This window comes from Homo sapiens, chromosome 3, assembly GCF_000001405.40.
Source record: "Homo sapiens chromosome 3, GRCh38.p14 Primary Assembly".
NCBI classification, from domain to species: Eukaryota; Metazoa; Chordata; class Mammalia; order Primates; family Hominidae; genus Homo; species Homo sapiens.
This window is the reverse complement of record NC_000003.12, coordinates 91,460,897-91,488,102: the sequence shown is the minus strand read 5'-3', so window position 1 is coordinate 91,488,102 and position 27,206 is coordinate 91,460,897. Positions and strand designations below refer to the sequence as shown.

Genomic DNA, 27,206 nt, shown 5'->3' with positions numbered 1-27,206 from the left:
TAATACATAACAGCATTTGCACTCCATATACAAAGGGAAAATAAGCCAGCCATAAATAATCTTGGGTTGGACGACTACCAAATTATTCACAATAAATTAAAAATACACAGGGATTTTAATGCTTGGAAACAAGAACTGTAATAAGACTAATAGAGAAAGACCGTGAGGTTGGATCAGAATGAATAGGTCATCTTCCATTTGAAAAATTACAAAAAAGTACTTGCAGTTAATATGTCTAGAAATAACAATAGGGTTGCCTACTTTACACAGTTGATTTGTTGATTTGAAATTTGTTCTCAAAGATGTCCCATCTTTTAATTTTTTTATTAAACACTTATCTCTAACAGTCCCCTTTCTCACTTCCACTCATGTGATTTGTGCTTATATAATGTGAATGGTTGGAGGTTAATTCTGTTCTTAGTTCTAGCTAGATGTTTCCCCATTCACAAGCAAATGTGAATTTGGTTGGATACTGTTGGAGTTCATAGAAATATTAATTCATTTAATGGATATGTATTGAGCCCATCAGTTATGTAGCAGCCATTGTGCTGTGGATACAGAAGTGAGGAAAACAGAAAATGTCCCTGCCTTCATGGACCTTACATGAGGGAGAGGGACAACATAATAAATAATGAGCAATATAATGTTAAGTGCTATGATGATGATCCTGTTATGGGTCTGTTCCTGAGACCCCGTGGTGAGTAATACAGATGTATCTTTTTTTGGACTGCCTCCTAACTCTGTATCTATATTGTTTGATCTTCACAACAGCATGTCATTTGCATATCCCTTGGTATTTGCAACTCTTCTCCAAATGTTTTCTTTAGTTTTTTCTTCTAACAAATCTGGCTTTCTCAATGCTGTTTCCCCTGTGGGCCTCTTCAAGTAGAGACAACTTTCCCCCCCGAGTTCGTATATAGGTATGCGGTGAGTGTCTTTCTTGGTCCACATTTCTCTGCCTTCCATTGTTACAGTTCCAGCTCCTTTAAAGCCCTTGTGATCTTATTATATCATCTGATACCTCCTTTGTTGCTATTCCACCCCCTCCCCCCACACCTGTATTCGTTGATGATTTGAACACCTAGCTAATGGTCTTGTGTACTGGCGCTATTCTTATTATTGTTCTTGGCCTCTGCAAGATCCAAGTTGATAATTTATCCCCTATCCTGGACTTATGATTCTTTTGTTTGCTTGTTTTCCATGATCATTTTTCTATCTGTATATAGCCAGACACTATCTTTTTAATTTTTATTATTTGGACTACTGCCCACACCTCTTAAGTATCCCTCCTGCTTCCGTTCTTACTCTCATACAGTCTTTTCACTACATAACAGCCAGAGTTCTCTTTGTTTATTGAATCACATCAGTCTTCTGGTCAGAACCCTCTAGTGGGTTTTCATCATATGTAGACTTAAATCCAAACTCATGTTGAGGCCTCTGAAGCCATATGTGCTCATCATTTCTATTTTATCTTCTGCTCCATTCCGGCTCACTCACTTGCTCTGGTCACATGGATCTTATGTTCTCTTTTAGCACACCACGTTTATTCCTTCTCAGGATCTTCATTTCACTAGCATCCAACTTACTTTGTCTTACTTGAAATGCCATCTCCTCAAAAAGGCTTCCCTGGCCACCCAAATTGAAGTACTTCTCCCCTAATCACACTTGATTTCATTTCTCTATTTCACTTCCAGTGTTTTGGCATCAGATGTTATCTTTTTAATGTCTGTATTCATTGTCCGTCTCCTCCTATTAAAAATAAGCTCTTCGAGGACAGGGTTTTTGACTTCTTTGTTCACTACTGGTTCCCCAGGGCTGTACACATAGTAAGTGTTAAATAAATATTTGTTGATTGAATGAATAAGAAGTAATCAAGGAATGTGCCAAAAGAAATAGAAATTGAGTTGGGTCTTGAATGATGACTTGGCTTTGGCTACATGGCATGTGCATGAGAAGGGTGCGCCAGGCAGGGCTAGCAGAGTGAGAAAATTGAGAAGCTACAGAGCATGACTGTGTGGTCATGGGATAGTGAATAATCCAGTGGACTGGAGCCGAGGACTCATTTTGGTGTAGTGATAATATACTGGGCTTTCCCAGGCTCCCTGTCACAGTGCTTCTGTGGTGCTCAAGTTTTGCCCTTGTTGGAGCCCTCCTTTTATCATTTATTTCATGTGTTTAACTTACATAGTAGTGAATATAATAATTGTTGTGTCTTTTTCCTTAACTGAATTAAAGGGGACAATTAGGTCCCAGCTTATTTTCCAGAACACTTAATAAATAATTGTTCTGTTATGTATAATTGAAAAGTAGTTATTGGCCAGGCACAGTGGGTCATGCCATCTAGCCAAGGTGGGAGGATCACCTGAGGTCAGGAGTTCGAGACCAGCCTGGCCAACATGGTGAAACCCTGTCTCTACTACAAATACCAAAATCAGCTAGGCATGTTGGCAGGCACCTGTAATCCCTGCTACTCAGGAGGCTGAAGCAGGAGAATCGCATGAACCTGGGAGGCAGAGGTTATAGTGAGCTGAGATGGCACTGCTGCACTCCAGCCTGGGCAACAGACTGAGATTCCATCTCAAAAAAAATAAAAAAAGAAGAAAAAAAAAGAAAAGTAGTTACCAGATATTGAGGAAACCTTGCATGTTCATACTAAGGATGTTGAATATTGATTGTATGGATTAGAACAATGTTTAGAAAAAAATCAGATATTAATATGAAGGAACAAAAATGGTCTCATGAAAATGAGCTGAAAGGCTTTCTAGTTAGTTCTACCAAGGGAGGATATAGGTCTGAATGAACTAGACTGGGGATGGAAACATTCAGAAGTTGTTACTGTAAAAGAATGAAGAGAAACTAGATGGTCACTAGAGGGAGCAACAAAGTCAAGCAAAGTGAGACCTGCTCTTTCTTATAGATGAAGTGAACTTGCTAAGGCATATGTGAGGGAGTAAGAATTTAAGTCTTGGGAGGTTATTTAAGGAAGTCATAGAGAATGCAATTGAAACTGTAAGTGAAAAATTAAAGTAGGCAATGATATTTCATTTTTGGCACTAAGGCACTAACTACACTTTGTTCCTTTTAACTTGGTTTCTTTAACATACTTATTTGAATTTTCCTTATGAGAAGTTTCTCTTATTTTTGTCTTCTGCTTTGTATTTAAGTTATCTTAAAAGTTCATCTGCTATTCAGTAATTGTACTTTTATCTCAGGGAAATGAAATCTTATGTTCACATAAAAACCTCTTAAAGAATGCTCATAATAGCTTCATTTGAAATAGCCCAAACTGGAAACAACCCAAGTGTTCTTCAATGAGTGAATAAATAAATTATGATACATTCATACCATGGAAAACTAGTTAGTAATAAAGAAATGAGCTTATATACAACTTAGGTGAATCTTGAGGGAATTCTGCTGAGTAAAAAACAACAATCTCAAAACAATACATATTATATGATTCTATTATACTCTTGAAATGACAAAATTATAGAGATGGAGAACCAGATCAGTGGCTGCCAAAGATTAGGGAGCTGAGGGAGGGGAGCAGGGTGCAAAAGATAGATGGGGGTGGTTATAAAATCATGAGAGATCCTTGTGGTGACAGAACTGTTCTGCATCTTGACTGTGGTGGTGGATGTATGAACCTACATGTGACAAAACTGTATAAAATTTAATACGGAAGTAAGTGCATGAGTACAACTGAGGAAACCTGAATAAGACTAGTGGATTGTATCAATGTCAGTATCCCGTTTGTGATAATCTACTGTAGTTGTACATGATTTTATCTTTGGGGGAATTTGGATATATGCTATCTCTTTGTATTATTTCTTGTAACTGTATGGGAGTCTATAGTTAACTTCAAAGAAAAAGTTTAATTAAATTAAAAAAACAGGTAAAATAAATTTTAATAGTATGTTATTTAATCCAAAGTATCTAAAATATTATATTAACTTGTAACCAATAAAAAATGTTAATAAGAAACATCTTATACAGATAAGAGTCATCTGTAACCACAGTAATAAAGTGGCACTTTCTTATGGTGTTTGTTTTTTTATTCCAATTACATTGAATTAGCAACCATAACAAATATTACAGGGGACCTGATAAGTCTTCCACTTAACTTAAAACTCTACTGTTTTTTCTTGTAGCTTTCTACCAAATCCTTCCCACCTTGCATGCGTCAGTTACATAAAGCCTTGCGGGAAAAATCACCATCTTCGTCATTGAGGCCGAATGCAGTATGACCTATTTCTGAAGGGCATTGGTTTAACTTTGGAACAGGCATTGTAGTTCTGGAAGCAAGAATTTATCAAAGGAAAGATGGATCCAGACAAGGTAATTTTGAAAAAAAATATCAGAGTGGTACCTGATATTTTAATTTGCTCTGAAAATGAAACGGTCTATTTTTTTTTAAAATATGCTCCCTGCAGTGTAGTTGAAAATTCTAAAAGGATAAATGTGTTGACAATTCAGTTTAGATAAAAAGAAACTTGCATATTAATCTAATATAAAAGATTGGGAAAGGAATGTTTTCCTTTGTAGGTATACTGCCAGTAGTAATTATAAGACTGAAATTGCTTTCAGAGTTATATATCTGTAGGAATGTATGTGTGTCTATACATATGCACATAATGTTTTGAGCACTGGGAGATATCATGAACAAATAAAATGAAACAATTTAAAATATTTTCTATTATGTTATGCAGAATCTTTTATAAACTTTTGTTTTTTTTTTCGAGACAGGGTGTTCTTCTGTTGCCCAGGCTGGGCTGGAGTGCAATGGTGCAATCATGGCTCACTGCAGCCTCGACCTTTGGGCTCAAGTGATCCTCCCACTTCATCCTTCCCAGTAGCTAGGGCCACAGGTGGACACCATTATGCCTGGCTAATTTTTTTCTTTTTTTAATTTTTTGTAGAGATAGAGTCTCACTATGTTGCCCAGGATGGTCTCAAACTCTTGGGCTCAAGCCGTTCTCCTGCCTTGGCGTGCTGAAGGGTTGTGATTACAGCTGTGAGCCTGAGTCATCATACCTAGCCTATAGAACATTTTTAGATGGACAATAATTACTATAAACCTGAACAACTTTTTAAAAACCCTATCTGCAGTGCTTATATTCCCAATCCTATGCCTTATTTCTCTTTAATAGTGCCAGCTAATAACATTTTACTTGGAAATATGATTTCTTGCCCCTTCTATGCCATGACACTGTGGTATGAAGACCATTTTTTACTGTTTATTTCTTGATTTGCTGCCTCCTAAAAGTAAATTATAGAAGAAAGAATATTTACCAGGTACATTTTATAGTACTTTATTATGTTTTATGTTAGTTTGCAAGCATTGCCAAAATAAAATACCACAGACTGGTTGGCTTAAAAAACAGAAGTGTATTTCCTCACACTTCTGGAGGCTGGAAGTCCAAGATCCAAGTATTGGCAGATTTGGTTTCTCCTGAGGCCTGTCTCCTTGGCTTACAGGTGGCCTTCTTCTTGCTTTGTGCTCACATGGCCTTTTCTCTGTGCATGTGCATGCCTGGTGTTTCTTCCTTTTCTTATAAATACACTAGTCTTACCGGATTAGGGCCCCACACTCATCTGATCTCATTTAACCTTAATTATCCCTTTAGAGGCCCTATCTCCAGTTACAGTTGGATTTGGAGTTAGGGGGTTCAACAAATGACTTTTAGGAGATCACAATTCAGCTCATGTCTGTAGCTATATACTTTATTAAAAAGCTTAGATTTTTAAAAATAACATTATAAAAAGCTGTTACAGTTTTTTCAGATTTGTTTTAAAAACTGTCTTCATCGACAATTATCCATAGAATCTTAATGAAGTCATTTAATAGGATTTTCTTTGAGCAGTTTTGGATAATGTTTTTTATATTTTTTTAAAGGTAATTTATTCTAATTATAGAAAATATAAAAAATACAGAAAAATTCACCTGTTATCCTCCAATTTGAAATAATCACTGTCAACATTGTAGCCTTTTACTCTAGTCTACAGAACTAAACACCACTGATTTTCACCATTCTAAAAATTGTCATTATATTATGATTATTTTTCCATATTTTTGACCAATCTTTGAAAATATCTTAATGAGTTACATAATATATCCTTTGAAAGTGATGTAATTTGTTTAATCATTCTCCTATTGTTGGACATTTGGTTGTGTCTAATTTGACTCTGTTATATATGTTACTAATATAAATAACAGAGTCAAATAGCTAATATCCTGTGGACATAGATAATTGATTATAGTTTTGATTATATTCTTTGTGTGTGTGTGTGTGTGTGTGTGTGTATATATATATATATGCATTCACCAGGAAATAAAATTATAAGAAACTACACACAGCTGGGCAGGTTGGCTCACGCCTATAATCCTAGCACTTTGGGAGACTGAGGCAGGTGGGTCGCCTGAGGTCAGGAGTTCAAGACCAGCCTAGCCAACACGGTGAAATACCGTCTCTACTAAAACTACAAAAATTAACTGGGCATGGTGGAAGGTGCCTGTAATCCCAGCTACTGGGGTGGCTGAGTCAGGAGAATCACTTGAACCTGGGAGGTGGAGGTTGCAGTGAGCTGAGATCGCACCACTGCACTCCAGCCTGAGTGACAGAGCAAGACTCCATCTCAAGAAAAAAAAAAAAGGAAACTACACACAATTTTAAAGTTTTAATGCATGCTGTGAAATGACTGTTCAGAAAGGTTTTAAATTAGACCCTCTTCAAGCGATGTGAGAATTTTGCTCTGCCATTGACATCATTATGCATTATTAATTTAAAACAGTTTTTGATCTTTTTATTAGGAATTTGATGTCTTAAGTAGGTAGATATATTAGGGTTCTCCACAGAAATGGAACTGTGTGTGTGTCTGTCTTTCTATCACTTACACATGCACACAGACATACACACACTCTCTCACACACACACACAGAGTGAGAGATAGAGAGAGAGATGGGGGTTATGGAAGTTGACAAGTCTCAAGATCCGCAGTTGGCAAGTTGAAGACCCAGGAGAGCCAATGTTGTAGTTCTAGCCTGAATCCAAAAGCCTGAAAACCAGAAGAATGATAGTGTACAAGGTGATCCTTGAAATACACAGGTGTGAACTGCATGGGTCCACTTATATGTGGATTTTTTTCAATAAGTATATTGGAAAATTTTCTGGGGATATGCAACAATTCGAAAAAACTTGCAGATGAACCACATAGCCTAGAAATATCAAAAAAAGTAAGAAAAAATTAAGTATATATGAATGTATAAAATATATACTAGTCTTATTTACTAACATGAGATATACAGAAATTTATTGCAAAAAGTTAAAATTTATCAAAACACATGCACACAAATGTACAGACCATACATGGTGCTATTCCCAGTAGAGAGAAATGTAAACAAATGTAAAGATGCAGTATTATCTTTTATGCAGTAACCTACATAAAATTAACTGTAGCACATTCTGTGCTACTATAGTAATTTAATAGCCCCACCCTGTTGCTATTGTGGTGAGCCTATAAGTGTTGCAAGTATCTGCTTAAAACGCTCTGTGATGCTAATCATCTCAGCGTAAGCAGTTTGCACAGTAAATTGTATATTACAGTAAAGTGATCTCTCACAGTTCTCGGGTATTTTTCATCGTGTTCAGTGCAATATCATAAACCTTGAATAACACCGTGGGGCTCATAGGAAGTGTCACTAGTAATGCTGGAAATGCTTCCCCAAATCAGAGAAAAGTAATGATATTACAAGAAAAAGTTGAATTGCTTGATATGTAATATAGATTGAGGTCTCCAGCTAAGGTTGACTGCTATTTCAGACAGATGGTTCATCTTGTAAATAGATAATGTAAACTTATGGTATTGATCAATGTAGTACAGTACTGTAAATGTATTTTCTTATGACTTTCTTTCTCTTTTTGTATTTTTAGTTGAGACGGGGTTTCACCATTTTGGCTAGGCTGGTCTTGAACTCCTGACCTCAGGTGATCTGCCTGCCTCAGCCTCCCAAAGTGCTGGGATTACAGGTGCGAGCCACTGTGCCTGGACTATTATGACTTTCTTAATGTTTTTTTTCTCCAATTTACTTTATTGTGAGGTTACAGTGAATATATATAATACAGTGAATATATGTAATATTCAAAATATGTGTTAATCAGCTGTTTATGTTATCGGTAAGGCTTATGGTCAACAGTAGGGTTTTAGTTGTTAAGTGTTTGGGGAATAAAAAGTTATACATGGATTTTTAACTGTATGGGGTGAGGGGTGGAGGTTGTTGCCTATAATCTCTGTGTTGTTCAAGGGTCAGCTTTAGTTCCAGCTCAAATGCCAACAGCTTCGAGACCCAGGAAGAGTCAATGTTTCAGTTTAAAAAATGAGGTCCCAGTTTAAGGAAGTCAGACAGAAGGAAATTCCCTCTTACTCACAGGAGGTCAGGCTTTTTGTTCTGTTTAGGCTTTCAACTGATTGGTTGAGAATTATTCACATTAGGTAGGGCAATCTGCTTTACTTTAACTACCAATTCAAATGTTAATCATATCCAGAAACACCCCCTCAGACACACCCACTGTAATGTTTGACCAAATGTCTGGGCATCTCATGGCCCAGTCAAGAACTGGGTTGTTGTTGTTGTTGTTGTTTTTTTTTGAGACAGAGTCTCGCTCTGTCACCCAGGCTGGAGTGCAGTGGCACAGTCTCAGCTCACTGCAACCTCTGCCTCCCAGGGTTCAAGCAATTCTCCTGCCTCAGCCTCCCAAGTAGCTGGGATTACAGGCATGCACCACCATGCTCAGCTAATTTTGTATTTCTAGTAGAGATGGGGTTTTGCCATGTTGCTCAGGCTAGTCTTGAACTCCTGACCTCAGGTGATCCACCCGCCTTGGCCTGCCAAAGTGCTGGGATTACAAGTCTGAGCTACTGCCACCATGCCCAGCTGGCGAGCTGGGTTGTTTTGAAGTGAAAAGAGAGAAGTTGAGCTAGCATTTTAGCTTGGTTTGTGCTGTAAACTGAGAGAAGAAAAAGCAAAGTAGAGAGGGAAAACCAGCTGCACCAGCCTATATGGATTCTTACCCTGAGTACTAAGTCTTTGGCTTGGACACTTGTTCATTGACCTGCCTTCTTTTATGTACATCTGGAATAGCCTGTGTAGCAATATCATCAGTAGTCTTTTAACTTGTATGTTTAAATTTTTTTATTATGGAATTTTTATTTTGCAATGCAAACTTTTTTCAAAAATTCTTATAAAAGAAAATAAATAATTTTTTTAGTTTTCTAGATAACATATAGTCTATATTTTTGTTAGCTTATTAATTACAGCAAATGTTATTTTAACTAAAGGATTATAAGACACATTTCTGACTTTCTATGACTATTTAGTGTTCTGTTGTTACATAGTCCGTATTGTAAATGTTCATGTTTTTCTCAACTATATCGTTTACATGTTTTTTCAATGACATGTAATAAACTAAGGCATACTAAATTACAATATTCTCTAATTGAACCATTGTATCTATTTGTTAAGTGATACATACAATTAAAAATATTCTTAAGAGGTATAAAAATTGTTGGCTTAAAATACTGCTTATAGGATATTTTTTAGGATGATTATAGAAGATGTTAAACATTTATTATAGTGTTAATTAAAGGACTTGGGTGTTGAACCCAGCTCGAATGATTTGAAATAACAGCTTCTGTTTGGACAGCTTATGTCCTAACAGTGTAAGAAAAGTGATGTGGTAACAGTCAATTTCAACTGGAATTTTTCTGTACTATTGTTTCCCAAATGATCATAATGTCTGATTTCTTTCTCTTAATATTTGTGTCCTCATTGTGACTTATTTGGGATACATTGCTATGTGAGTCTGAGCAAATATTTTGGGTACTTAGCCAGTACTTTTGAGTCAGCAGAGACTGGTATAATATCTCCAGCAATTTTGAGCTCTAACTCTGCAGCTACAACTACCTTTCCTAGATATACTGCCTGGAACCAAATATTTCTTTACCCTAACTTCGAACGCAGCTCTGTTCTTGAATTGACTGCCTGATTGGTATCTGTCTCTTCCTCCCATCTTTACTTACTTGTGCTTGTTGCAGGCATTTTTTTTTAACACTTTGCTTTTAAAACTAATGTTATACTTAATGTTGGAGGGGAATGTGTTGTCTGTATTCTAAAATAATTTACACCTGTATTAGTGTTTGTAACTGTCATCCAAAGTATAAATATTAAAGTATTGTGTCTCAGATACCTTTTATTAAGGTTAAGCAGTTTTTGTGTTATAATGCACATAATTTCTGTTATAAACATTTTTGAGTAGTAATAATGGATTGTGGAAGCAGCTTAAGGTTCTGATGCTCACTGTTATTTTTTTATTAGGAATTTGATGTTGTAAGACTTAAAGAAGGAGGAAAGAAACATGAAAAAGCAGCTCAACAGTCAAAGACAGGTTTATTTTGGAGAATAAACCTGAGTGGGGCTTCTGGCCGAGTTTGGTCAGTAATGCTGTCTCTTACAGACTGAGAGTATTTATTGGTGAGAGAGCTTGGAATGTTTCTGTGTGGGGGAGAAGTTTATGGCAGGGTTGGAATGTCTCTGGTCGGAGAGGAGATTATGTTGGGGCTGACATCTCTCCAGCTGGAGGGGAGGTTATGTCGGGGCTGGCATGTCTCTGGTCAGGGAGGGGTTTGGTGTGTTTCTGGTCACAGATGTTATTTGTGGTTTATGGTCATGCTGACTTTAGCCATTAAGCTGATGCCCTTTGGATTTAGGCAGTTTTTGATCAACGTAAATTTTAAAATGACGGTGCTTGTCCAAGACGGCAATGCTCCTGCTCTGTCAGATGTATTAAGTCAGTCCTATATACGTAAAAATTAGCCATCTGTCTATAAAACAGTTATTCAGAGTTACTAGTTTGGATTATTTTTCTTGCCTTTTGAAACTATTTTCCGGCTAGCATATATATTCCAATAAATGATATTGGTTATTTGCTACCAGCTTATGTTCTTTTAATTTTGGGTGCTTATGGCTACCTTATATTTATTGCTTATTTATTCATTTATTATCTGTATCCTACAATTAGAATGTAAACTATATAAAAGCAGGTATCTTGTCTTTCTTGTTGACTGCTGCATGTTCAGGCACCTAGAACAGTGCCTGACTCATAGCAGGCACTCAATAAATGTTTATTGAATAAACTAATACATGGAAATTTCCATATTATTTACATAGAAATAAATTCTCATACATGTTCATAGATATTATTTATTTATATTTTGCTGAATACATGGTAAATTCTACCAAATCTTTAAAGTTTGGCTTTTGATATGAGAAAAAATAATCTTTATCTGTTTTGGTTCTTTTTAGATAGAGCTGTTTCTAACAAGTTATAGAATTTAAGTCATTTTAGTTGCTTTTTTATTTCTAAGAGCAGTAGATCTCAGCATCAGCATCATTTGGGAATTTGTTAGAAATATAGATTCCCAGAATCAAATTTGTTGTCGTCCATGTATTTTTCTAAATAAAAATATGGATTGGTAGAATATACAAATATACAAATATTTAACATAGTATCATATTACGATTCTTATAAAAAGTACAGAGAAATATATTTGTGTGTATATGTATATACTTAGATACATACATATGTACATATTCCATCTACTTGGCATAGATCATTCAGCCGATTTTTATTGTGTGTTTATCATGAACATGTACCATTCTGAAGATACTGAAATAAAAGAAACAGCCCTTATTTATGAAGACTTTCCAAGACCTTATTTTATTTATTATAATTATTTTTGAGATGGAGTTTCGCTCTTGTTGCGCAGGCTGGAGTGCAGTGGCGTGATCTCAGCTCACCACAACCTTCACCTCATGGGTTCAAGCTATTCTCCTGCCTCAGCCTCCCAAGTAGCTGGGATTACAGGCATGTGCCACCAGGCCTGGCTAATTTTTTTGTATTTTTAGTAGAGGTGGGGTTTCTTCATGTTGATCAGGCTGGTCTCGAACTCCCGACCTCAGGTGATCTGCCCACCTCAGCCTCTTAAAATGCTGGGATTACATACGTGAGCCACCATGCCTGGCCCCTCCAAGACCTTATTTATGAGAGTCTTCCAAGAAATTTATTTGGAAAAACCAGATAAATACAAATGTACAGACAGAGAAAGAAGGGAATTTCATGTTAAAGGGACAACACTTTAAAGGACCTTAAAGTGTAGTCCATCCTGTAGGTGGTAGGAACCTGAACTGTACCAGTGTAATTGTGGCAAGAGGGGAGTCTGGAGACATAGATTTTTTAGCCTAATTACTAAAGATAGATTGAATTAGTAGGCCAGTAGGAACTGGTCTTGTTGGGTAGGTAGGTGCCAACCAGGATCCTGTCAGCCAGGATAGGGTCAATTGATAACTGGAATTTAGTCAAATATGTGTAGTTTCACAACTTTGAATATTTACTAAAATAATATAATGAATGTTGGATGCTATGCAGGTTTACTGAAAAGCAGAAAATAGTATGAGTAAAGTTTCCACTTGGTTCAAATTAATTTCACCTAACTTTGGATTTCTGATTATATAGGCCAACATTGATTTTTAAGAAACTATTTTGCTTTAAAGTAAATTTAAAAATTTTAATCTACTTGGTTATAGTTTAATTGAGAACGAAGGAATTGGAAAACAGTTCCAAAACACGATGGTAAAAAGGAAAGTTATTATTAAGGTGATGTGGAGTAAGATAGTTATTAGAGTGGATCGTGTTAGAGACCAATCTTGAATTAAGATTTGGAGAAAGTGAATGACATGGATTAGTTGAGAAAGAACTGACAGCAAGAATACACAGTGAACAAGGAATGAGGGGAAAGTAGGCAAAACATTGTTAACTCTTCCATTATTTTCTTTATTTTTATAATTATTTTAATAAAATAATTTTACAGTAATAATTCTTCCATTTATTTCTCGTTCACTTAGGCTTTTTATTACCTGTTTTTGGGATTGTTGTGGTTTTGACTGTTGTGATTTAAAATTCTCCATTTCCAGACTTTTTAAATTTACCTTCTCAGTATATTTGAATACTGTTTTATTTAGATGCTTATTATACTTGAGGATAGAGATTTTAGTATTAAAACATCAACCATTTCCAAGAGAACATTCCATTGTTGTATGATCTTATAGCAAACCAATTGCTTTTCACAGTATACCTTACTCCAAAAAACATTGGTTTCATAATGTAGGGTTTTTATCCTTAAATTGTTGAATATTAATATTGATATATTTAAAATGTTAAAATAAAGCTCTTTGAGTTAACCCTTGTCAGTGAAGGATGGAGAAATTTGAAAATTGCACTTAGGTTGCTGAATCAGATTTTTTGGATTTGTGAATGATTCACAAGAAGTATTTAAAGTTTTGAACGTCTTATTCCTGAAATAATTTCCCGTATTTCTGAAATAAATGCACCTATGCTTTATACAAATAAAATTTCATTAGTCAGAGTAAAGTTTTTCATGTTTTTCTTAGTTGTAATTATAATTTACAAGCCTGTCTACCTGAAAAAAGCATCACCCTGGGTGCAAGAGATATAAAATCAAACCTTTATTTATTTATTTTTTATTTTTAAAATTTCAACTTTTATTTTAGATATAGGGGGTACATGTGCAGGTTTGTTACCTGAATATATTTTGTGCTGTGACGTCATCTCCCAGGTAGTGAGCATAGTACCCAATAGGTAGTTTTTCAGTCCATCCTCCCTTCTGCCTCTAGTAGTGCTCCGTGTCTATTGGTCCTATCTCTATGTCTGTGGGTGCTCAATGTTTAGCTCCCACTTATACGTGAGAGCATGCACAAAACTCTATTTAAAGTATGAATACCATGAAAATATTCTTTTACTTGGCACTTGGATATTAAATCTCTTCGGCGACTAGCTTTGTTAAGTATTACATTGAACTGGATAATTCTTCTAATAAATTCAAAGCATGTGTCCTGTCAGATTGCTCATAGTGTTGTTATTCTGAATTGCTTTAAGCTGGTTTTATTGGATATTAAGTACAACATTGATAATGCACATTTTCTGTAGCTGTGGTTTCTGTCCTTGATGACAGCATGCTTAAGGTCTATTATATGTTGTTATAATTGGGTCAAGGAACATTTAGCACTGTTTAAAAAGCGTATCTTTTCTTCCAGAATCTAGCTTTCGTCAAGACTTAGAACAAACTTGTGTTGTTAAAAATTGACTACTGAAGGATTAAATATTTGGCTGATGGGATGTGAGTATATGAAACATTTATTGTTAGGATTTTTTATTTCAGGGACCACTAGATCTCAGCATCAGCATCATTTGGGAATTTGTTAGAAACGTGGAGTCTCAGAATCAAGTTCTGGGGTCAGGGCCCACAATTTGTGGTTTAACAAATCATCCAGATGAAATTGATGCACACTAAAGATTCAGAACCACTGTTTTAACTACTACCCTGTCATAGTCCATTTTCTAGTGCTTATCACAGAATATCTGAAAGTGGGTAATTTATAAAGAAGAGAAATTTATTTCTTCTAGTTATGACTGAGAAGTCCCAGGTCATGGGGCTGCATCTGTTGAGAGCCTCCTTACTTGTGGGGACTCTCTGAGGAGTGCCAAAGTTAGAGCAGGAGTGCCAAAAGTTAGAGCAGGAACCAGATTTCCTGGTCTTAGCATACAAGAAAATGGAGGCGATGGGAATAGAGTGTGTGTTTCTAAAGTTTAAGAAGTCAGGCAGGAAAGAAATAGAGCATACTAGGTATAGAGGGTGACTGTGCCAAGCAAGGTTTTCAAGTTGGGGTGGGCAGGAGCAGTAAAACTCATGGAAATGGAGGATGTGCTGAGAATACTTGAGGAAACAAGGCCTGAGGAGATGGAAAGAGAATTTAAAACATTTATTTATTATGTGATTATTATAATATGAACCTCTGTTTCCTATGTGATGTTCCCTGAGTGTAGAATTTGTTTCTTTCTTACCGTGATATACCCAGCACTTGAGATGGTACTGACAGATTGTATATGCTCAGTAAAATTTGTTGAATGACTGAAAGAATTGCATTAGGAGTTTAGTTTATCTCACACCTGATGGATATATGAAAAATTATGAATTGGTAAAGGAGTGTTTAAAAGTGGAAAGAAGAGCTGTGGGAGCTCACATCCACTGCTCATCTTTCCAATAAAGTAGGCAGGGGAATCGCTTACCAGAAGGATTTGGTGTATTTAGGGCTTAAAGAAAGTTGAAGAGTCTAGAATAACACCTTCCGTAAGTGTGCTAAGGCATTAATTAATAAAAAAAAAAAAAGATTGCTAAGCTACAGAATGGTTACAGTTTGAGTTCCTAGCATATGCTAGGCACTATAACTAATATTCTACATACACAATTTTATGGAATCCTTAAAACAATCTTAGGAGATAAGTATTATTTATGTTGAGTTTACTAATGAGAAAACAGTACTAGGCTATAAATTTGTAACTGGCTAAGTCAGCACTATTATGTTGCTTTCTCTAGCAGTGTCTTACGGCCTTAGAGCAAAAGCAGAGATGGCATAAGGTAAAGTTTATTCAGGTTTAGGAGTTAGCAAAGCAGGCATGCTGCTTTAAATTCTTCCTATGTTTTCTGTTTAATTTAATCTCACACCACCACCATGAGGTAAATATTATCTTCCTTCGATGGAGAGTTTAATGCGTTTTCCTCAGGCAGCAAAGGTGGTACATGATCAAACCTGGGTTAGACCCAGGTCTATTTTATTCCAAACCCTGAACTTCTCCCAGTACTCTCAGAAGGAACACTAGACTTAGTGTTTAGGTTGACACTGATAATGATAACTATGTAAACTTAAGAGAACACAATTAACAATAGAGATTTTTCCGTTCTTGAGGACAATAGTAATGTCTGCTAAAATATTGCAAAGAATTAAGTATATATGCGAAATACTATGTAATCTGTAATGTACTAAAGAAATATTGAATAATTTTAAAATGTTGATAAAGGGGTTATTCTATATCAGTCACATTTTCTCAATATATTTGTAAACCTGTTAACTTCTAGACACAAATATTAGTTTTCTAATTGCCTATGTTTTTGTTTTTCTTTCAAAGCAAAGCTTGTTTTGTTTGAATGTTCGTGTTAGTGAGATCCTAGGAAAGTAATTTGAATGTAATGAAAAAAATAGTTTCTTATGGCTCACGCCTGTAATCCCAGCACTTTGGGAGGCCGAGGCGGGCAGATGACCTGAGGTCAGGAGTTTGAGACCAGCCTGACCAACATGGAGAAACCCTGTCTCTACTAAAAAGACAAAATTAGCTAGGTATGGTGGTACATACCTGTAATCCCAGCACTTTGGGAGGCCGAGGCGGGCAGATGACCTGAGATCGGGAGTTTGAGACCAGCCTGACCAACATGGAGAAACCCTGTCTCTACTAAAAAGACAAAATTAGCTAGGTATGGTGGTACATACCTGTAATCCCAGCTACTCGGGAGGCTGAGGCAGGAGAATTGCTTGAACCCAGGAGGCGGAGGTTGTGGTGAGCTGAGATCTCGCCGTTGCACTCCAGCCTGGGCAACAAGAGCGAAACTCCGTGTCCCCCCTAAACCCCCCTCAAAAAAAAGTTTCTTGCAAAAATAGTCTAATATTTGTCATTATTATTTTTGGGCAGCAATTTTAAAGGTACCCTTAATAGCTACCAAGTCATCTAAAACATATTTTTGAAGCTTGATTGCAGTGAAATTTGTTATATTCTCTCTTATAAATATTTTGGTGTATAATAAAGATATGTGTATTTTAAGGGTTTAATTCTTCTCTTGATGCTTTCCATAGCATGTGGAATACCAATTCTAGATTACACAGTATAAGAATTAATATTTAAACATTAACTTGAACAGGTTGGGCTTGCTTTCATGAATTGTCAAGAGGCTAGCTAGTCAAAATTCAAATTAAATTATGTATTGGGTTAAGTCTATCATTAGAATAAAACAGGTGTTATTATCCTTCTCCTAACACTATTCTGGCAAAAATTAGCTTTAGTAAATTTAATTGCTCTTGATGTTGTACTCCAAATACTTTTTAATTCTTAAATTATGGAAATAAGATAAAAAATAGAAGACTTCAACTCTGTCATTCATTTATAAATGTCATTTTGCCAGTGATACCTTATGGATTATGCTGATATATTAAAATGAGATTAAAAAATAAAATGACATTTTATTCAACATTTTAAAAGGTGGGTCAAATTTTTGTTGCTAATATATGTGGTACTCTTAGGGGAAAATACAATAAAATATGTATCTTCTTAAGATGCCAGTTTAAGATATCAAGAGTATGTTTTAATTGGCCATATCTCTGGACAAATTGGGTACATATAAGCTCCAAAATGGGTCAGACTTCTGATACTGAAGGATTTTTCTTTGGAAGATTTATTAATAAAGATTAGGAATCTCAGGGGCTTGAAGTGTGGGGAAAGTATATTCTTGGCTTTCTTTAACAACCTGTTGTGTGTTTGTCACCCATCTTTTGCCTGTAAATATTTGTTGAATTTATTATTTTGTTTTTACTTAAAAAAATTACTTTGAACCATCTTTCCAGTTTGTTTACTTCTATGTAAAGTAGGATTTTATTTTATTTAAAAAAATAACCAAACAGTTATTTTGCACCTGCCTGTGCGCATTACTCTTTATAGTAAGAGAATATATAAGTTTAAACTGTTGTGGGGACCCAGAGAATGGTTGGGTTTAATAGCTTTAATAGTGCGATTGTTGTTGTTGTATGCAGCTCAATCAGAAAAGCAGGAATCCTAATCAGGAAAGGGCTAGAGGGATGTTTACTCAAGGGGAAATCTAGATGGTTACTGTTCTGTATTGATAAGAATGTCACCTGTTAAGTGAAGTCAGCCTTTTAATTGAGAATAAGTTCAGAGAAGGAGACACAAAAACTCAGATTTAAAAAATTTGAATGATAAGGATGATATTGATTAGGCACCCTACGAAGTAGATTGCTTTTCGACTTTGATCCCAGAATAAGCTTGTCATTTTCTTTTGTACTATCTCAGACATAACCTGCCTTTTCCTAGGGGACTGTTTAAAGAGTGTATTTTGTTCATCCATTCAACAAACATGGAGTGTCTACTATGTCCCAGGCGGTCTTCTAGCTACTAGAGGTATAGCAGCAGTGAACAATATAGAAAAAAAAATTAAAACTCTGGAGCTTACATTCTGGTTGAGGAGAGACAGTAAACAAGTAAGTGAATTATTGATATATTACTTGGTGATTACTGCTATGAAGAAATTTTTTCATGCAGAAGATAGGGAATGCTGTTTAGTGCCTGGATGTGGTTTTAAATAGGGTGGTCATGGAAGGCTTAAACAAAAACATGATGTTTTGCCACAACGTAAGTTTTATGTAAGAACTCTAGGCTTGGCATTTTTCTTGTCATATCTTAGTGGGATATGAATAGCAGGTCTGAGTGTTCACCATTTTACAATGAAGAAACTTGAGGCAAAGAGAACTGTCCAAGTGTACTCAGAATTAACAGAACCTGGATCTTATAACCTTTCGATATGATTTCAGTCTGTGGAGGTTTGAGCTGTAATGCAGCCAGATTTAGCTAAAAAGTCAGTGGGTTCGGGGAAGGCCAGCAGGAGGCAGTGGAGCACCAGCACAAGCTGAGGCCAACTCCCATTGGTGAGGCTTGGGCAAATGTAGCTTAAGTCAGGTGAGAAGCACTGGCTTGGTGGCCTGGGCTTACATGAGGCCTACACTAAGCTCACTGCGTCTCTGCTGTCAGTGAGGAAGGTGGTTTCAGACCCTTCATTTTGGAGGGGCTGTCATTTAAAACAAGGTACCAGGCTCTGTCTGTGACTCTAGGACTGATAAGGCAGATTTCCTTGCTCTCAAGTCTTTGATCCCTGTGGCCTACCTACTAGGATTGAGTAAAGCAACACTGTCTTAATCATGCCTAGGCTCAAGGATCTTGTGATTTAGTCAAGTTCTTAGAGAGGGGAAAAGGATTTTCTACTAAAATCTCAAAAGAATTTCTATATTTTTATCCCCCACTGGAAAGATACTCCACAGGGAAATGAATGATGTCTACAATAAGGTGTGTGAGTCTTGGGCACAATTAATCTTCTTACCTACTACACGCTTTAGTTTGTCTCCACATCTTTGGACCTCAAGGCCTTTTATTTCAACCTCTCATTTCCTTTTCCTTTGCATTGGTTGAGACATTTTTTTAGCTCTCCAGTTGCATTCCTGTATGCCATCCTTACCCTTTGAATTTTCATGTAAGCCTCAAAAAAACAAATATTTCTACATAGTTTCTCTCCACCTATCTTTTCTGCCCCTTCCTTTGGCAGTTTTTAGACTTTTTTTTGTACGAAGAAACCCCTTGTTTTCCGTAGTCTTTCAAAACAACACTGTGATGAACATTCATCTCAGATTTTCTCCACTGTAATATTTAAAAATTGCAAATAAATTGTATTTTATTCTATTAGATTTAGACAGTGTACTCAAAAGCAAAATGTTTGTCAGAATGAGTAAATATGAAACAATACCATTGTCACTAGCTTAAATAGTGGTTAAGTGATATTGTTCAGTAAATCCATATGTAAGGATAAAGTCAGAATAGTAAAAGCTTGACATTTCACAGGAAATGTGTGGATTAAAGGGATTTTTATTTGTTTAAATATAGTCGCTTTGTAATTTAGATAGAATAATACTGTTAAACCAATTTGAAGATAAGGTGTGCTTTCTATGTTGATGTTTTTAGGTTATATTATATTTTGATGTCTCTTTACCAACAAAGGAAAGATATACATATATAGATTAATTCTCTTGGATATGAGTTTTATCACAATAATGCTTTTATTTCTACCTTTAGTTTTAAAAATACTTAAAATTGCCTCTTGAAAAATCTATATTTAAAAAAACATGAATCCAGGACATAGTCATTTTAATTAGTGTATTTGAATATAATGTTCACTAATGAGAATGATCTCAAGGTAATTCAAGAAGAGATCATGAAGTCTGTTTTTCTAGGAAATTTCCAATTTTTTCTGTCTTTAAAGGTGGACTTATTTTTAAAGGTGGACTCTTTTTTTTGCCAACATTGCATGCACTTTCGTTGCCCTTCTTGTTTCCTGTTATGCTTGCTGTAACTCACTGTGTAAACCTTGAGGCTCCATTACTTGCTTTGAGGTTTGGTATCCTATTCTTTAGTGATATTGCGACTGCAGAAACACTGCAGTGTGGTCTTTAGAATTTCAAGGGTGTCATAGTACTTAAGGCTACTTTCTGTCCTCCTTTTTTGCTTCCTTATTCCTTGCAAAGCTTTGCCTTGGCCACATGTGAGTTCAAGTAGTGTGTTTCCACAGTTTCTAAATTCTTACTCTAAGGAATTAGGGACAAGATGATTTCCCCAAATCATCCCTATCCCATGTATGGGCCTTCTAGGAATAGTACCATAAAAATCTGTCTTTATTAATAGGTCCTTTCTGACAAATCAACACTTAAACATTATTTTAACACAGTTTTATGATGATGATTATCTTCTACAGTTTTATGTATTTTAATCATTAACTTATTGATTGTGCCTTGAAGGCCTCTTACATAAAGGATGCAATTTGAATAATGCCTTGGTAAAACCATTTAATCTCTGTTTACAACTATATTATGTTTCATCCCAAACAGTAATGATGACTCCTTTCTATGGATAACATGGCACATATTGTTTACATGTAAATGTTATTTTAAAAGCTATATTTTGTTAGACTTAGATTTTCACATTCAAGATCATTCCTAAAGATTTATGTGATTTTTTAAAAGATAATTTTAATCTACCTATAGTGTGTATAAATTTATTACCTAGAGAAAAGGAAGAAATTATACTGTCTAGTAGGGGAGAGAATTCTGAATAATTAAGGGGCAACTGGTTGGAATTAATTTTAGTACATTGGGGATGAACTAGGTTTAGTTTAAGCCTCTGTTGATAAGAGCTCTAGAATCCTTTCTGTTTATCACAGAAGGCCCAGCCCTGTGTTAATCCTTTCCTGAGCACCTTAGCCAGCAGTGACTAACACCTCTTTCAACCTCCACTAAATTTTAAGTGTCTAAATAGCAGGGATTCTATCTTAAAGTTTTTATATTCTCCCCACCCATCTCTTGCATAGGAAAGAATGCTCTGCACCTAGTCTTTTCTTAATATGTATTCGTTGGCCAAAAATGGACCTAAGTGTGTTAAGCCATTAGTTTTCTCTTTGAAAAATTGAAGGATATGCTACTTCATGGTTTTTTCCTTCATATTTAAATCTTGCTGTTGTCATAAAGACAGACTTTTCATTTAAAAGTATAATTGCTAAGGAATGTGTTTTCATTCTTTCAGGGAACCCTTCCAGCCAGATCATTTGCTTTTCTGACTGTTGTGTATAGACAGGCTTGTCCTTAGAGAAAGCAGACTGTGAGTGCCACAGTGAATGCCTTGTATTATTTTCTCTTTACAAAGATAAACCAAAGTTCTAAAAGAGCACATTGTCTGCTTTATTTGTAGGGAAAGAATGTGTATCAAAAGGGGATATAATATTTTGTTGATAGAGACAAATGGACTAAAAAATAATGTTATTTTTCTTTGAAACATTTAACATTTTAAGTGGCTTTTTGAGAAGATGGCTGATTTAAAGTAAACTTGCTATCCTTTGGCATGGTTGAGGCATTTAAAATAATTTGTTAGAGTGGGGAATGCTAACCTTTATTAAGTCCTGCAGTATGTCTGGCACTTTTTGTAAATATTGTATCTATTTATTTATTTGAGACAGAGTCTTGCTCTGTCACCCAGGCTGGAGTGCAGTGACTTGATCTTGGCTCACTGCAAGTTCCACCTCCCAGGTATGAGCGATTCTCCTGCTTCAGCCTCCCAAGTACCTGGGACTATAGTTGTGCACCACCACGTCTGGCTAATTTTTGTACTTTTAGTAGAGACAGAGTTTTACTATGTTGGCCAGGCTTGTCTGGAACTCCTGACCTCAAGTGATCCACCTGCCTCGGCCTCCCAAAGTGCTGGGATTATAGGTGTGAGCCACCGTGCCTGGCCTACTTTGTATAAATATTCTTATTTAAGCTTTAGAAATTCACCATATAAAAATAGGTATAATTACCTGGATTTTGCAAAGAAACACCCTGAAGATCAGTGAGTTTACTGCTAGGTAGAAGTTCCGGGATTCACATGATTTTTCTGTTCATTGGATGGGCCATACCACAAACACTAGATAAGCTTTATGACATTGTCTTCTTCCTTTAGAAAAATGAAAAATAAAAACAAAATATTGAAAGGAACAGAGAATTAGACATTGCTGAACACCTGGCTAAATTAATTATTCTACTTGAGCCCTAACTTTAGCTAAGGGGGATAGAAAAAGTCCATGATTCTCATTTTTGGAAAGAAATATAATTTTCTTGGACAAGAAGAGCTTTTATTTTCATATTTATTAAACTCTGTCTGTATACTAATGTTTTAAGGACTGTCAGTAATCAGGAACACAATGCCACCATTCACAATTGCCATAATAAGAATAACATACTTAGGAATACAGCTTAACAAGAGAGGGGAATGAGCTCTACAATGAGAATTAGAAAATACTGCTCAAAGAAATCAGAGATGACACAAACAAATGGAAAAACATCCCATACTCACAGATAGGAAAAATCAGTATCATTAAAATGGACATTCTGGCCAAAGTAATTTATAGATTCAATGCTATTCCTATCCAACTACCAATGACATTCTTCACAGAACTAGAAAAACTATTTTAAAATTCGTATGGAACCAAAAAGGCCTTAGTAGCCAAAGCAATCCTAAGCAAAAAGAACAAAGCTGGAGGCATCATGTTATCTAACTTCAAACTATACTACAGGGCTACAGTAACCAAAACAACATGGTACTGGTACAAAAACAGACATAGACCAATGGAACAGAATAGAAAGCCCAGAAATAAGGCTGCACACCTACGACCATCTGATCTTCAACAAAGCCAACAAAAGCAATGGTGAAAGGACTGCCTATTCAACAAGTAGTGCTGGGATAACTGACTAGCCATATGTAGAAGACTGAAACTGGACCCTTTCCTTACACCATATAAAAAAATCAACTCAAGATGGATTAAAGACTTAAATGTTAAACCCAAAACATTACAAACCCTGGAAGACAACCTAGACAGTACCATCCTGGACATTAGAAATGGACAAAGATTTCATGACAAAGATACCAGAAGCAATTGCAACAAAAGCACATATTGGCAAATGGGATCTAATTAAACTTAAGAGCTTCTGCACAGCAAAAGAAACTATCAACAGAGTAAACAGACAACCTACCAAATGGGAGAAAATATTTGCCAACTGTGCATCTGACAAAGGTCTAATATCCAGTATCTATAAGGAACTTAAATTTAAAAGAAAAACAAAAAAAAAGTCCATTAAAAAGTAGGCTAAGAACATGAACAGATACTTTTCTAAAGAAGACATACATGTGGCCAACAAGCATAGGAGAATAAGCTTAGTATCACTGATCATTAGAGAAATGCAAATCAGAACCACAGTGAGATACCATCTCATACCAGTCAGAATGGCTATTATTAAAAAGTCAAAAAATAATAGATGCTGGTGAGGTTGTGGAGAAAAGGGAACACATACACTGTTGGTGGGAGTGTAAATTAGTTCAACCATTGTGGAAAGCAGTATGGCAATTCCTCAAAGAGCTAAATACAGAATTACCATTTGACCCAGCAATGCTATTACCGAGTATAAGAGGAATATAAATCATTCTACCATAAAGACATATGCATGCGAATGTTCATTGTAGTACTATTCACAATAGCAAAGACATGGAATCACCCTAAGTGCCCATCAGTGACAGATTGGGTAAAGACAATGTGGTACACATATACCACATTTTATGGCTGAATACTCTTCAGCCATAAAAAAGAACAAGATCATGTCTTTTGCAGGAACATGGATGGAGGTGGAGGCCATTATCCTTAGCAAATTAATGCAGGAACAGAAAATCAAATGCTGCATGTTCTCATTTATAAGCGGGAGTTAAATGATGAGAACTCATGAGCATAGAGAAGGGAACAACAGACACTGGAGCTTCCTTGAGGGTGGAGGGTGGGAGAAAGGAGAGGAGCAGAAAAAAATAACTATTGGGTACTAGCTTAGTATGTGGGTGATGAAATATCTATACACCAAACTGCTATGATGTGAGTTTACCTATATAACAAACCTGCACATATCCCCCAAACTTAAAAGTTAAAAAAAAAAAAGAAAAAAATATGACTCTTGACCTCAGGGAACATAGTCTATACTACTAGACTGTTATAACTTGTATTTTAATATAACTATTGAATTGCCTTGTAAATAATAATAACCTCTTGGGAGACAGATACCACATTTTGTTAGGTTTAAATTCAAGTAAGTATTGGATATTTAGAAATATTTCACAAAACTTAATAAATAAGTAGACATTAGTCTCCTGAGAGGGAAGTTCTCTTGTTTTGGAAGGCACTGTGGTGTGGCGGGGAGAATGTAGACTTTGGAATCAAACCAGAGCCCAGACCTATTTGCCAGTTATTTGCCATGTGACTTTGGTTAAGTCAGCATCTCTGGACTTAGTTTTCTCATCTTTCAAATAAGGATAATGATGGGATTGATATGAAGATTACATATGATAATAACCCTTAGTATTGTGCTTATTAGCACAGTGTCTGATACATAGCAAATGATCAATAAAATGCCCTCCCCTAAGTTCTTATTTAATATGATGTAGAAAGTAGTAAGCATAGTAGGAGGACAAGCTCAAGAGTAAGATATATCTACCTAGGAGACTCAGAGAGGGCTTCATGGACAAATTGATATTTGAATTGAACCCTGAAGGATGGTAAGATTTGGACATACAGAATTGGGATGCATGAATATTTTATGATCCATGAAATATTCATATAAAGGTTGTTGGTAACATAATAAAGGACCTTTTAAACCATGGTTTGGCTAAACACATAGAACCATTACTCAAGTGGAGAGTCTTACGCTGAACCTTTGTATAAGCTGAGAGCATGTTATTAAGTTTCAGTTAAAGTATTCCTGCTGGATGCTGAGAAATTACAGGTTGGTTTTATTGCTGTCTTCTGATCTTTATCTTTCTTAATATATATATAGAAGTTAGAAAATATATATGGCGGTTCCTTGATACACATGTTTTTATTTCTTTTAAAATGTCAGATGTCCAAAGCAAGTTGGTTGAGGGTGCTGAGCTCTTTTCAGGGTTCAATTTTCTAATCAATGCCAAGATGCTAACTTTTAGGTAGTCATTAACGAGATACATTTTGGGGCTGGGCATGGTGGCTCACACCTATAATCTCAGCGCTATGGGAGGCCAAGGTGGGAAGATCACTTGAGCCCAGGAGCTCAAGACCAGCCTAGGCAACACAGCAAGACTCCCTCTCTCCAAAAAAATAAAAAAATCAGCTGGGTGTGGTGATACACACCTGTAGTCTCAGCTATTTGGGAGGCTGAGATGGGATTGAGCCCAGGAGTTCAAGGTTACAGTGAGCCATGAGCATGCCACTTCACTCTAGCCTGGGAGATAGAGTGACACCCTGTGTCTTAAAGAAAAAAAAAAAAGTTTTGGGCTTTGAGGTGATACAAAGATATAAGATCAGTGCCTCTCAAACTTTTTATGTTTGTCATACATTTTTTGAATATTTGAATTTTTGATAGCATGCTTAAAGTATCTAAGTTGAATCCATGGAAGTTATTATTGCAGAAATCACTTGGGTCACCCTTCAGAACTGTGTCATCATCCAAGCAGAACTGTTGACTGCCCTGACTTCAGTGTTTACCTATTCTAGTGAATTCTTGCAGTCTTTTTTTGGCTTTACCTTGTACTTCTTATCTGCAGCTAGTTATGCCTTTCTCAAAATTGTATCTAAGGGCCTACTCAGGTCAAGTTCCATCTGATTGATTTCACAATAACCATCTTTCCTCATTTTCAGCAAAGATAAATTTACTTGCTGATTTAAAATAATTGAAGAATTGGTTTAGAATAGTACATAGGATACTTGACGGGATAGATCCTAGACAACATAGATATAGGTATTTAACATCGCTAAGGTGGTACTGGCATACCTAGAAGATATTGCAGGTTTTGTTCCAGACCACCGCAATAAAATTTAAATAAAGGAAGTCACACAATTTGCTTTCCCAGTGCATATAAAACTCATATGTATACTACACTGCAGTCTATTAAGTGTGCAATAGCATTATATCTACAAAAACAATGTAGACACCTTTATTTAAAAATACATTTTTTGTTACTAAAAATGGTAATGATCATTTGAGCCTTTGGTGAGTTGTAATCTTTTTGCTGGTGGAGGTTCTTGCCTTGATGTTGATGGCTGCTGACTGATCAAGGTGGTAGTTGCTGAAGATTGGAGTGGCTCTTACAATTTCTTAAAATAAGACAGCCATGAAGTTTGCTGCATTGATTGACTTTTCCTTTCATGAAAGATTTCTTTGTGGCATGCAGTGCTGTTTGATAGCATTTTACCTGTAACAGAACTTCTTTCAGTATCGCAGTCTATCCTCTCAACCCTGATGCTGTTTATAAGTTAAGCGTATGTAATAATCTAAATCTTTTGTTGTCATTTCAACAGTGTTCACAGCATCTTCACCAGGAATAGTTTCCATCAGGAATAGAAACCACCTTCTATGCTCATCCATGAGAAGCAACTCTTTATCCACTAAAAAGTTTTATCATGATGTTGCAGCAGTCAGCTCATCTTTAGGCTCCACTTCTAATTCTAGTTCTCTTGATATTTCCACTGCATCTGCAGTGACTTCCTTTCCTGAAGTCTTGAACCCCTCAAAGTCATCTATGAAGGTTGGAAATCAACTTATTCCAAACTCCTGTTAATGTTGATATTTTGATCTCTTTCCAAGAGTCACAGATATTCTTAATGACATTTAGAATGGTGAATTCTTTCCAGGTTTTCCATTTACTTTGCCTAGATCCATCAGAGGAATCACAATCTATGGCAATGATATCCTAATTAAATATATTTTTAAAATAATAAGACTTGAAAGTCAATATTATTCCTTGATCCATGGGCAGCAGAATGGATGTTGTGTTAACAAGCATTAAAACATTAATCTCATCATACATCTCCATCAAAGC

General features: G+C 35.9%; 1 pseudogene across 1 annotated transcript in view, besides 1 other annotated feature; it reads left to right on the top strand.

The window, feature by feature from the left end:
• LOC101930420 (DNA primase large subunit-like) overlaps positions 1-27,206 on the top strand; it is a 139,540-nt pseudogene that overhangs the window by 25,673 nt on the left and 86,661 nt on the right. Inside the window, exon 3 of the transcript NR_172933.1 lies at positions 4,149-4,335. The product of NR_172933.1 is annotated as a DNA primase large subunit-like (transcript). The remainder of the gene's footprint in view (positions 1-4,148; positions 4,336-27,206) is intronic.
• Positions 1-27,206: part of a centromere (Linear centromere model derived predominantly from reads generated in PMID: 17803354. This region does not represent an actual centromere sequence, as long-range ordering of repeats and unmapped WGS contigs is not provided by the model. For details of model production, see http://arxiv.org/abs/1307.0035.) that runs on past both edges of the window.